The 12,996-nt window shown below is 53.6% G+C and overlaps 1 protein-coding gene across 6 annotated transcripts in view, besides 3 other annotated features; it reads right to left on the reverse strand.

The window, feature by feature from the left end:
* Window positions 1–12,996, reverse strand: part of CELSR1 (cadherin EGF LAG seven-pass G-type receptor 1) — a 176,447-nt gene that overhangs the window by 70,555 nt on the left and 92,896 nt on the right. For all 6 annotated transcript variants that reach the window (NM_014246.4, NM_001378328.1, XM_047441624.1 and 3 more), the window contains exons 3-5: window positions 7,461–7,683; window positions 4,446–4,561; window positions 1,665–1,753 (exon numbers count right to left, since the gene is read on the reverse strand). In NM_014246.4, coding sequence (NP_055061.1) covers window positions 1,665–1,753; window positions 4,446–4,561; window positions 7,461–7,683 — 428 coding nt within the window. The remainder of the gene's footprint in view (window positions 1–1,664; window positions 1,754–4,445; window positions 4,562–7,460; window positions 7,684–12,996) is intronic.
* Window positions 841–890: an enhancer, noted in NCBI's record as "active region_19237". NCBI's record gives its function as "activates an Ori minimal core promoter by ATAC-STARR-seq in GM12878 lymphoblastoid cells {active_cell/tissue: GM12878}" and the evidence as "EXISTENCE:reporter gene assay evidence [ECO:0000049][PMID:35858748]".
* Window positions 1,461–1,580: an enhancer, noted in NCBI's record as "active region_19238". NCBI's record gives its function as "activates an Ori minimal core promoter by ATAC-STARR-seq in GM12878 lymphoblastoid cells {active_cell/tissue: GM12878}" and the evidence as "EXISTENCE:reporter gene assay evidence [ECO:0000049][PMID:35858748]".
* Window positions 11,028–11,979: an enhancer, noted in NCBI's record as "NANOG-H3K27ac-H3K4me1 hESC enhancer chr22:46838653-46839604 (GRCh37/hg19 assembly coordinates)". NCBI's record gives its function as "activates a minimal SCP1, AML or CMV promoter by ChIP-STARR-seq in primed H9 embryonic stem cells {active_cell/tissue: H9 hESC(primed)}" and the evidence as "EXISTENCE:reporter gene assay evidence [ECO:0000049][PMID:30033119]".

Raw genomic sequence — 12,996 nt, forward strand, 5'->3', positions numbered from 1 at the left:
GCACTGCCCCACACAGCCACAGGACGGCACCGTATCAAGAAAAGACTCGGTCTTTGAAATGGACAATGGCAGCAAATAAATCCGCGTCTGTGAGGGCTACCCTCTTCCTCTTGCTCAGCCCTGAGCCCCTCACCCCACCAGCCCCTGCACCTCTGTCAAGCACATGGTTCTCCAAACATCAGCCAAGCCCCACTAGGGGTGACATCCAATGTGCGGCAGCCCAGACCCTGCCCAGACACCTGCCAGCCTTCTCTCAATATCCCCCCAAACCCCGAGCAAGCACTCAGCTCCCAAACCTCACCAGCACCTCCCATCTGCCCTCCTCCCAAATGAGGCTCAAGCTCCACCTGCCCTGGGTTGGCACTGATGGGACAGAGGACAAAAACTATGGTCTCTGTGCAGGTGACCACTACTTGGAGTCTGTGTGGCACGCCTGGGAGATGATGGGATATTCAAGGCAGATGGGAGGGGCGGGCCAGGGAGGTGGAGGGACGCCGGTGGCCAGCATGGAAAGGAGAGTGAAAGCCAGTGGAGGCGACACTACGACCTCAGGCCCAGTGGCTGGACCCCAACTGCTGGTGAGTCGCAGCCAGGCACAGTGGCTGTGAAAGAAGGAAGATGCTCTCTCCATAGAAGGACTGGGTCGATTCTCCTGGAGGACAGAGGAGCCCTCGTCTGCCAACCAAGCTTAGGCCCCAGCCTTGTGAAGTCCGGGAAGCGGGGCACAGCGGGGGTGGCCAGGCTCCAGGAGGAGCCGGTAAGACCCACGCAGACCCACGAGCAAGCGGGGGCACACCCTGGAGCTTCCCAAGAAGAGAAAAGGGATTTGCAAAATCACAGCCGTGGAAAGCACAGCATTTTGATGCAAAAAACAATGTGTTTCCTTACAAGCCAACGAACAGCAAAATAAAGTGAAACCAAAACCACCCAGCCTTCACGGCACTTCCTTGAAGAGTGTTCTGGCTCGCCAGTTACATCCAGGTACAGTGGACGATTTTGGCTACAGAGCCGTGTATGAACAGCCCAGAATTTCAGCCACTAGTAGACTCTGGCCAAGGTGGCTGCAAATGAATAAGCCCTTTCTGTGTCCCTCCCCCAGCGCAGGAGATCTCCGGGGTCCCTGTGTACCCCCCGACCCAGAGCTCTGGGTGGGACTATGACCCCAGCACAGGGCTCAGGTGTATTTACACAGACCCTCCACAAATGTGCATTTCCTAAACCATTTTTTCCAATAGCACATTTAAAAAAAAATTCAGAGCACAAATGTCTCAAGACAGAAAATCTACCAGGGCACCTTTTTTCCTTCCTTTTTTTTTTAGATGGAATTTCGCTCTGTTACCCAGGCTGGAATACAGTGGCACGATCTCGGCTCACTGTAACTTCTGCCTCCCAGGCTCAAGTGACTCTCCTGCCTCAGCCTCCTGAGTAGCTGGGATTACAGGCACCCGCCACCACGCCCGGCTAATTTTTTAATTTTTGTATTTTTGGTAGAGACAGGGTTTCGCCACGTTGGCCAAGCTGGTCTCGAGCTCCTGACCTCAGGTAATCCACCTGCCTTGGCCTCTCAAAGTGCTGGGATTACAGGCGTGAGCCACTGCGCCTCGCCCCAGGGCACCTTCTCGAGCCGCCCTGGGGCCAGGGGGAAGTGGTGGGGCCCATCTTACCTTGTTGTAGTACTGCACCTGCACAGAGTGCCACCGCCCGTCACTCACACCACTGGGAACCTTCGGTGCCACGGTCGTTGTTGTCTCGCCTGCATGGTGGGAGGGAGACCCAGAGAGAAAACAGGGGTTGGCGGGGCCTACTGGGGACCGAGGATTGCGCTGTGAGGCATCAGGGGGAGACAGGTGCACATGGCCACGTCCTCCCTCCCCTCCCCACGGCACCATGGTGGGAGGCGCCCACCACTCCATCCATTTTCTTTTCTGGTTACAAAAGTAATTCTTGTTCCTCTTTTCTGGTTTTGTTTGTTTTGAGATGGAGTCTTGCTCTGTCGCCCAGGCTGGAGTGCAGTGGCGTGATCTCAGCTCACTGCCACCTCCGCCTCCTGGGTTCAAGAGATTCTCCTGCCTCAGCCTCCTGAGTAGCTGGGATTACAGGCACCCACCACCACACCCGGCTAATTTTTGTATTTTTAGTAGAGATGGGGTTTCACCATGTTGGCTAGTCTAGTCTCGAACTCCTGACCTCGTGATCTGCCTGCCTTGGCCTCCCAAACTGCTGGGATAACGGGCGTGAGCCACCGCGCCTGGCCTTGTTCCTTTTCTAAATATGAAAAAATATAAACACGGAAAACCCATCTGTCTGTACCAGCAGCAGTCACACCTACACCGCACCAGAGGTCGAACCCTTTTTCCTATGCATTGCATCAACGTAGACAAAATCATCAAAACCAATTCCACTTTAGGTCACTTAATCAAATAAATGTCATCTCAGGCTTTTAACAACTCTTAAACCACGTAACACGTCCCATCGTGAGGTCGCGGACGCGTCTCTTGTGCATCTCTGCTTTGGGGTGTCTGTCATTTCCACCCCTTGAGCTCCTGCTGGAGTGGGGCGGGCGAGTCCCTTTGGGGATTCTGGGGCACAACCCTGAGTCAGCAGCAGCAGCTGGGAGGAAGGAGCTTCAGGGGCACCAAAGGACAGGTGCGGTGGGTACCAGGTCCCGGGCAGAGAATACCGTCTCCAGGGAACCAGCAGGAGTTCTGGAAACGGGTGTGGGAGACACTGGCCAGGGGAATAGCCTAATCCCACCTCACAGAGCCCGGAGGGCTATGGCCACCTCTCCCATGGTGGTTGGCTGCTGTTACAGGTGCCTCCCTTTCTTTATTGAGTATAGAAAACAAAGCTCCATCCTCCACCATCACACACATGTCATTCAACACGGGCCAGGGTTCTAGAGACGGAAGCAGCTCTGAGCCATCTTGGTGAACTTCCAGGTGAAGGAGGAGATGGCAGAATTCACTCCTGAAAGTCAAGTGTGCCAGGCTGAGCCTGGTGGCTCACATCTGTAATCCCAGCACTTTGGGAGGCCAAGGTGGGCGGATCACTTGAGGTCAGGAGTTCAAGACCAGCCTGGCCAACACAGTGAAACCCTGTCTCTACTAAAAATACAAAAATTAGCCGGGCATGGTGAAACGTGCCTGTATTCCCAGCTACTGGAGAGGCTGAGGCATGAGAATCGCTTGAACCTGGGAGGTGGAGGTCGCAGTGAGCCAATATTGCACCACTGCACTCCAGCCTGGGTGAAAGAGTAAGACTTTGTCTCAAAAGAAGAACAAAAACAAAAAAAAAAGTCATGTGTGCCAGAAAAACACAGATATACCTGTTGGCAGTCTGGAGAAATGTTCTTTTCTAACAACTGGAATAACATGTTTAATGGCCTTGTCGATATATTTTTTTTAAAAGAGACAGAGTCTCGCTATATTGCCCAGGCTGGTCTTGAACTTCTGAGCTCAAGCAATCTGCCCGCCTTGGCCTCTCAAAGTGCTAGGATTACAGGCATGAGCCACCTTGCCTGGCCAGCCTTGTCCAAAAAAAAAAAAAAAAAATTTTTTTTTTTTTTTTTTTTGAGATGGAGTCTCACTCTGTCACCCAGGCTGGAGTGCAATGGCATGATCTCAGCTCACTGCAACCTCCACCTCCCAGGTTCAAGCAATTCTCCTGCCTCAGCCTCCTGAGTGGCTGGGATTACAGGCAAGTGCCACCATACCTGGCTAATTTTTGTATTTTCAGTAGAGATGGGGTTTCACCATGTTAGCCAGGCTGGTCTCTAACTCCTGACCTCAGGTGATCTGCCTGCCTCGGCCTCCCAAAGTGCTGGGGATTACAGGCATGAGCCACTGCACCCGGCCAGTGTTGACATTTTTAATCTAGAGATGTACCACAATTTAATGATTCCTTGGTTTCTGAAAACATGAACCAGATCGTCCACATTTCCAGCACTATAAATAACACTGTTATGAACATCTTTTTATTATTATTATTTTTTGAGACAGAGTCTCACTCCGTCACCAGGCTGGGGTGCAGTGGCGTGATCTCACCTCACTGCACCCTCTGCTTCCTGGGTTCAAGCAATTCTCCTGCCTCAGCCTCCTGAGTAGCGGAGATTACAGGCGTGCACCACCACGCCCAGCTAATTTTTGTACTTTTAGTACAGAGGGGGTTTCACCATGTTGGTCAGGCTGGTCTCGATCTCGTGACCTTGTGATTCACCCACCTCGGCCTCCCAAAGTGCTGGGATTACAGGCGTGAGCCACCACGCCCGGCCTGTTATGAACATCTTTGTGTACTTTGGATTTCTTAAATAAGACAGCTTCCTAGACCTACAAGTGAGGGATGAAAGGGTAAGCAGCTTGGAGGCGCTGCACAGGGCGAGGGTCGTTTTAACCCACAAAGTATCTGTGAATTGCTCAGAGCTGCCCTTCCTGGGGAGAAGGCCCCACCTGCAGAGAAGGTGAGCTGCACCTGCTCGTCCACGATCTCCAGGGCGATGAAGTCGTGCTTCTCATTGAAGCGGCCGTTGTAGAGAAGCAAGCCGTTCCTTTCCTGAGTGGCAAACCTGTGGGGCCAAGCAGAGGCACATCACAGGATGAAGACCCCAGGGTCCAAAGGCTGCCTAGGAATGACAAGTCCAGCCGGAGGAGGGCAAGCACGTGGGGCTACGATTCAGGAAAGAATGGTGTCAGGCATGCGTCCTTCTCATAGGAGCAGACAGCCCATCAAGCTTGATAAGCAGGGTTCTTTTCTGGAAGCAGCAAACCAGAATCCATGGGGAGTCTGGTTACTACGGCCTGTAGAATGCAAAAAATATCCCATTTGCACAACATGCTACAAGTACGACCAGCGGCCAGGACACCTGTTACTGATGTGTTTGGGCAAAGCACGTGCTGTACATTTTCTGCTGCTGTGAACAGATCCCCCCGTGTGTGCGCCAGGGCATGGGGACCTGGTACCTTCCCAGGCAGGGATGATGCTATGGAAGGACCATTCTTATGGCCTCTCCCCCCGGCACTCAGCCACAATAGCATCTTTTGGCTCCCAAACACAGGTCAAAAAGACCCCAGGGCCTTTGCACCAGCTGCCCCCTATGCCAGAAACAATCTTCCCAGGCTTTGCAGATCACTCAGGGGTCAACCCAGCTGTACTTGCCCTGACTCATTGTACTCTACCTTGCCCTTACCTCCCATCAGCCTATGACATCACTCAGTTAATTTCTGAAATCATGCTGCTGACTCATTGGTTTATAAGAATGTATGATCCATAAGGGGAGGAACCGCAGCTCTCATTCCCTGCTGCATTCCAGAACCCAAAGAAGATCTGGTCCATATCAGTGCTTAATATGGGCTGTTTGAATAAATGAAAGGAAGAGGCATGAACAGACGCCTGAACATGAACAGGCCTGTCAGAACTTAGAGCACGCTGAGCAAAAACCACCTGCTCGGGCAGGAGATCATCAAATTCTCAGAAATCCTTCTCCCACCCAGGGGCCCCGGGCAGGGGGTCTTCAGACCCAAATCACCACAACACCTCCCCCACCTCCCTGGTTTCAGAGAACTTGGCAACCTCCTGAGTGAGCTTGGGACTGGCTCCTGAGCTGGCTGGGTGTCTCCACCATCAGAGATACACGGCAGGAACTCCTTTTAACCTAAGGTTGGTTTATCCATTTTCCTGCAGCAGGAGTCGGCCCGAGCCAGCCTCGAGCATCTGACCTCAGCCTTTTCTCTGGAGTTAAAATTGATGGTTTCGGCTGGCCGGTGGCTCACGCCTGTAATCCCAGCACTTTGGGAGGCCGAGGTGGGTGGATCACCTGAGGTCAGGTTGACCAGCCTGGCCAACATGGTGAAACCCCGTCTCTACTAAAAATACGAAAATTAGCCGGGCATGGTGGTGGGCACCTGTAATCCCAGCTACTCAAGAGGTTGAGGCAGGAGAATTGCTTGAACCTGGGAGGCGGAAGTTGCAGTGAGCCGAGATCATACCACCACTGCACTCCAGCCTGGCAACAAAGCAAGACTCCGTCTCAAAAAAAAAAAAAAAACTGATGGTTCCCAACTGTCGCCCAAACCCCCTCTCTTTAGAATGCAAGCAAGAAATGACGACAAACACAAAGAAGAATACCCACACAGCACACTGATGCTTGGGCAGGGAATGAGCAGGGAGAAGGGATCTTAATGACGACGGGACCAACTCAGTGCAGGCTTGTTTCCTGAGACTCAGCCCCTGGGTCATACCTGATTGCCTTTGGTGGGTTTCACTTCTGTGCGGTTCCCTTTGGACCCAGGTGGGGGCTGGTGGGCGGTGTCAGTGTCAAACAGTCCTGCACGGCCCCCCTGGCAAGCACACGTACACCGCTGGCGACGGAGCAATAAAGAAGGGACCCAAAGCCGAGGGGAGGGTTGGAACAATGCAAGCAAAAAGCAAAAAAAAGGAGAGGCCAGAAAACAGAAACCAAGGCCCAGAGAAGGGGGCCGGGGAAGGAGAAGGAAAGAACAAAGAGCTGTGGGGATGAGAGGCAGCTGGGAACGGAGCCCGGAGCCCACTTGGGAGCCTGGACACTTGGCAAAGAGAAACTAGAAAGAGGAGAAGGGGCTATGAAAGCACCCACCTGAAACAAAAGCAGCTAGGCGCCCCCCAACCCGGCCCCTCACAGCGGCTCTCAGAGGCTCAAGAGGGCCCTGCCCACAGCCCCCACTGCTCCCAAAGTGTCACTGCCCTGGAAGCTTGGGGAGGCACCTTATGATTTTACTTTTAAAGGTATTCCCTACAAAACCCTCGGTGATTTAGGGTCAGCTCTGATGGTTTAGCCACCGTCACACATAAGGGAAACTGTTCATAATTGTCCAGTGCAATAATCTCAGACATACAGAATCTGACAAGCAGCAGCGTAACATTCCCTTGTGCAGACATTTAATTAAACGTTATTGGAGGTGGAGAGGATAGTGGTGGTCACCAGAGGCTGGGGAGGGAGCAGGGAAGGGGCTGAAGAGAAGTGGGTTAAGGGGTACAAACAAAGACACAGAAGGAATAAGCTTTTGTGGTTTTTTTTGAGATGGAGTCTCGCTCTGTTGCCCAGGTCGGAGTGCAGTGGCACAGTCTCAGCTCACTGCAACCTCCACCTTCTGGTTCAAGCGGTTCTCTTGTCTCAGCCTCCTGAGTAGCTGGGATTACAGGCATAAACCACTGTATCCAGCTCATTTTTGTGTTTTTAGTAGAGATGGGGTTTTGCCATGTTGACTAGGCTGGTCTCAAACTCCCAACCTCAGGTGATCCACCCGCCTCGGCCTCCCAAAGTGCTGGGATTACAGGCGTGAGCCACCGCGCCTGGCCTGGAGCTACTCAACTATCAAAGGCCACACACGGAGGACATCAACGTCACGATCTAGAGGGATGGGGTGCACGGAGAAGCTCGCCCCTTTCCTAAAGAGACCCCCGTGTGGCGCGGCGGGACGCACACTCACGTGAGGGAGATGGTGAAGTGGAAGCGCTGTCTCAGGCCCCGGAAGGTGACGAAGGACTGGGGCGGGAAGCTCCTGGTGGTCACCTCACAGTAGGGCCTCTCATACTCGCCAGGAGGACACACGCAGTGGAAGCCGCCGATGAGCAGGTTCACGCAGGTGCCCCCGTTCTTGCACACCCCGTTGGCACAGCGGCCTGAGCGGGCATCCACCTCACAGTGCTCTCCTGGGGGGCGAGAGGAAGATGCCAGAGAGGAGGTTACCGACCAGCCAGGGAAAAGCCAACGAGCCTGTCGCAGACCCTGGACACACCCCAGCCACACAGTCAGCTGCTGAAAGAAAACCCGACTGACTCCAGGACAGGTCTGTGACATGAACAGAAACCCCTGAGTTCTCAAGGACTTGCCCAGAGCCGTGCCAGAGTCGGCTGCACCCAGCTCCTGGTGGGCAAACTAAGGATGGTGGCCAGGGGGTTCCCAAAAAGCACTCTGTGGGGTCAAAGAAATGGCAGCAATGAGCCCTTCCCAGCCTCCAACCCCGTTCTGAGCACCCTGCAGGCTGAGCTGGACTCTTCTGAGGGGAACGCCTAGAAACAGACCAGAGCACCTCAGGCCCCTCCCCACACCTATGCCCGTGCCACAGCAGAACACAGCAGAGCCTCGTCAGAGATTTGGAGCATGCTGCCATCACATGACCCAAAGGCCACCTTCTGAGCAGGCCACCTGCCCTGACTGCCGTCCGCCCTCCCACCCCTCACACAGACCCCTCGCACTGTCTGGCCACCCCTGGATTCCAACCCGGTTCTAATCTGGCCCGTCTCGCCCACCAGCCTGTGAGCTCCTGAAGGGCAGGCACCACCCTACTCTGATGTCCTTCCTAGAGTTTAAACTCTTTTGTGACAGGAAGGTTCTGGAAGCTTTCCCAGAAAACCAGCCAGGCAGCCCACAGCACACTGCCTCTCTCCATCCGCCCTCAGACCAGGAGTGCTAAGAACCTCATCTGCTCGGAGGGTCTCAGTGTTCGCCATGCTTCGACCCAGTTGTTCCTGGACTGGCCGCTGCATCCTCCAGCAACCAGGTGTGTGGCTGGTGACACTCCCGCCCCCGGACAGGGATGGTGAGCCGCAATCTGCACAGCCCATGCTGCCTCCCCTGCCTCCACCACATGGGGAGTTAGGCTAATTTTTTGTATTTTTAGTAGAGACGGGGATTCACCGTGTTAGCCAGGATGGTCTCCATCTCCTAACCTCGTGATCCGCCTGCCTTGGCCTCCCAAAGTGCTGGGATTACAGGCGTGAGCCACCGCGCCCGGCCAGTATGATCAATCTTTAAAATATTTTGCATCTCTGACAAATGGATCTCAACGATCTTTTCATTTGCATTTATCTTTGATGAGGCCAGCATCTTTTCCTGTTTTATTGACAATTGACACTCTCTTTCCTAGAAGCTGCCTGAGTTTGTCTTTCTGCTGGGTTTTTGGTCCTGCTCTTATTGTGTTATAGAAGCTCCTCGTAAATTATGGAAGGAACTATTGTCATTTTCATGGCAATTTCCCCCAGCTTAATGTTTAACATTAGGTTTTATGTATTTGTAGCCCCACAGAAATTTTTTGTCTGTATGTGATCATATTTATCCATTTTTTTCTTCATGGCTCTGGTCATCTTGGGTTGTTAAAAGACTGCCACAGGCCAGACGCAATGGCTCACACCTATCATCCCAGCACTTTGGGAGGCTGAGGTGGGTGGATGTCTTGAGGCCAGGAGTTGAAGACCAGCCTGGCCAACATGGTGAAACCCCGTCTCTACTAAAAATACAAAAATTAGCCAGGCGTGGTGGCGGGTGCCTGTAATCCCATCTACTCGGGAGGCTGAGGCAGGAGAACTGCTTCAACCCGGGAGGCGGAGGTTGTAGCGAGCCGAGGTCACACTACCGCACTCCAGCCTAGGTGCCAGAGCGAGACTTCATTTCAAAAAAAAAAAAAAAAGAGAGACTGCTATAAAGATGGAACTGGGGGGACATCCAATGTGAGGATACTCAGTGCATAACCCAGCATACCCTTCAAATGGCAGCATCTTCCTGGAGCCCAGACCTCGCTGGAGTCCCCAGAGTGGGATGGCTCCACGATGGGCCCTTTGGACAGGCACCTGCAATGTCCCCCCGAGAGGCCTCCAACCACGCTCCGGACGGCCAGTGGGATTCACACAGCCGCTGCCGTGTGGGGCAGCCTAATTTGATGCCAACTCAAACAGACAGAATGAAAACACACTTACGACGCCTCAGTCTGCTTGGGCTGCCATAATGAAGCATGAGAGATCGGGGGCTTATACAACAGACACTTACTTCCCAGAGCTCTGGAGGTTGGAAGCCCAACATCACGCTTCCAGCTGAGGTGGCCTCTGTGGAGGTCTGTCTTTCTAGCTAGCAGACGGTGCCTTCTTGCCGCATAAGGGAGAGGGCTGTGGTCTCTTCCTCTCCTTACAAGGACTCTAATTGCAGCCTGGGGGCCCCACCCCATGACCTCATCTAAACCTAATCACCTCCTAAAGCACCCATCCTGGGGCATAGGGCTTCAATGTAGAAATTTATGAGGGCACCATTCTGTCCAGAGCAGATATGTATGAGACAACTGGCAATTTTAAAAGACTAGTGAACATTAAACTTTATTATCCATTTTTAAAAATAAAGAGATCACGGTGGCTCACGCCTGTAACCCCAGCACTTGGGGAGGCTGAGGCGGGTAGATTACCAGAGGTCGAGAGTTCAAGACCAGCCTAACCAACATGGTGAAACCTCATCTCTACTAAAAATACAAAATTAGCTGGGTGTGGTGGCACACAACTGTAATCCCATCTACTCGGGAGGCTGAGGCAGGAGAATTGCTTAAATCTGGGCAGCCGAGGTTGCAGTGAGCCAAGATGGTGCCATTGCACTCCAGCCTGGGCAGCAAGAGCAAAACTCCGTCTCAAACAAACAACAAGAAAAAAAAGAAATCAGGTGCTATCAAGGGTAGGTGCTGAGGTATACCCCCCACCCTTCCCCTCCAGGACGGGGCTCTGGGGTGTGGGTTGCTGATGGCTCACAGCTGAGACCCTGCACTCAGATTCCGCCTCCCGGCCCAGTTCCACTGCCCTCGCTGGGGCAGCCCCCATCCAGCAATGGGTCAGGGTGGACACAGTGACCATCAGACTGCCCAACGCAGGCCATCCCCGAGGGGCCATCCCAGCTCTGCAGCACGCTGTGGGGTGGCTGAGGCCTTGTATACCTGCAGGGCAGTCCGACCTCCCCTCTGCCCAGGCCAGGGCCCCTCCCTGCCCCCAGCTGTGGCTCCTGAAGGCTCCTGGACACCGGCTGCCTCCTGAGCTGGGGCCTGGAGTCTGTTTCTCAGGGAGGCCAACCTCAGCCACGGGCTGATTTCAGTGAGTTCAGTCGTTTTAGGAAAGCCTGTCAATCCTCCAAGGGAATGCTTCCAATGAGCTTTTGAAGAACAAATGAAACTGATTTATAATCAGCATAACAATCATCAGAGGTAAATGGTGCCTCTGAAGAATCTGAGTTCTCCCTCTGCTTCCCCCAGGCATCTCCCACTCTTCATTACCAGGTTGCAACACCTAAGAATGTGTAACTGGGCCTGGCGCGGTGGCTCACGCCTGTAATCCCAGCATTTTGGGAGGCCAAGGCGGGAGGATCATGAGATCTGGAGATCAAGACCATCCTGGCTAACACGGTGAAACCCCATCGCTACTAAAAATACAAAAAAAAAAAAATTAACCGGGTGTGTTGGCGGGCGCCTGTAGTCCCAGCTACTCAGGAGGCTGAGGCAGGAGAATGGCGTGAACGCGGGAGGCGGAGCTTGCAGTGAGCCGAGATCGCACCGCGGCACTCCAGCCTGGGGGACAGAGCGAGACTCCGTCTCTTAAGAAAAAAAAAAAAAAGAATGTGTAACTGGCTAAGCCAAGGTGACTCCAGATTCCAGTATGAAGCCCTCTCGAGAACGAGGAGGGCTGAAATCGCTGACGTTTTGCTGAATTTCATGAGCATGCACGGCCTCCACGCCAGTAACCCCGAGGGCTCACAGGCACCAGAGCTGACGCCGGGTCAGAGCCAGGCACAGGCCAGGGGGGTGCTTTCCCCTCCACCCCAGGAGTCAGGGCAGGATCCCATCCGCCTGTTCTGCACTGGCAGGGGCTGCCCCCAGGGAAATGGGAACAGAGGGGTTTCCCACCCCACTCAGTTAAAGCAGGCAGAGAGGAGCGAGCCCTAGACCCTCATCCAGGCTCCCAGCACCCCTGGAGGCTAACCCCCCTACCACTCCCCGCTATGGGGGTCAGCCCACCACAGATGCTGCACCCCGCCGCCCTGCAGGCGGGCCATGTGCACACACACACCTGCACACACATTTGCACAATGCTTATAACCTTCCACATGTATTCACACATGCACTCAATTTCCCGTCTACACATGTCCATACACCTGTTCACACACACACACATACATACACATGCGTTGACACACCCTCACAGACACCTCACATCCTGTCACACACAGATGCATACCTGCACACCCAGCTGCACACTCATATGAGCAAGTCAGTGCTCGTGGCTTCCTGGCCTTTGTAAATCCCGTGCGTTCACGGGAGGTGTGACGCTTAAGGTATATTTCTCCTCCTTTGGACACTTCAAATTATCTTGCTTCTACTTTTAAAATATGTGACATTTGGGAGTGTTTGCTTTCCAAGTTCCAGCCAGTGGCCAAGCACAGCACACTCTGGAATAACAAAGCCACCGGGAGAGGCTGGGTGTACTCACCCAACCTCGACGGCAAACAAAGGGCCTGTGGGGCCCAGCCCTGCCCTTCCCACAGCCGCTTCTGTCTGTCCCAGGTAGTAAGAACCCAGGCTGGGCCCGGGGCTCAGACTCTCCCAGAGGAAAGTGAGGCCCAGGCCCATGACCTCCACGTAGCTTCCCGGTCCCACCTGCTCCGGGTCGGAACTCACTCTCCCCTCATCCGAGGGCTGGAAGATTCGGCTTCTCACCTCCAGCCTGGGATTTCCTCTAAAAGGCCCAGGAAAAGGTGGCCAGCCCTGAGTGAAGACAGCGCTTTGTATCTGGAAGGTTTGAATTTGAACTTGCAGACCGGCATTCCTGCTTCCAAATTTGATTTCTAGTGGCCCCCGATATCCTCAGGCTGCCCCGTGAAAGGGAGGCTGACCGATATAAGCTTGTCCTGCCCCCGAGGGGGGCACCTCTGCAGGGACCAGAGATCAACAGGTGGCTGCTAATGCCCGTGAGAGCACAGCAAACCCAGCCGCAGGTGTTTGCCCCTCGCTGAAAAGGTCTTGCTCCTTTAAATATGTGGCAAATAAAACTAATCTCCATGGAATTGTTGGTTTGGTTTGGTTTGCTTTTTTAATGCGGAGTTGTATTTGCTTTGCTTTTTGTTTGTTTTCATTTTCAGAAAGTAGCTGTATGTGTTTCCCGTGGCTGCCGTAACAGATGACCCCAAACTGGAGGCTTAAAACAACAGAAATTCATTGTCTCACA

This window comes from Homo sapiens, chromosome 22 (assembly GCF_000001405.40).
Source record: "Homo sapiens chromosome 22, GRCh38.p14 Primary Assembly".
In the NCBI taxonomy this organism is placed as follows: domain Eukaryota; kingdom Metazoa; phylum Chordata; class Mammalia; order Primates; family Hominidae; genus Homo; species Homo sapiens.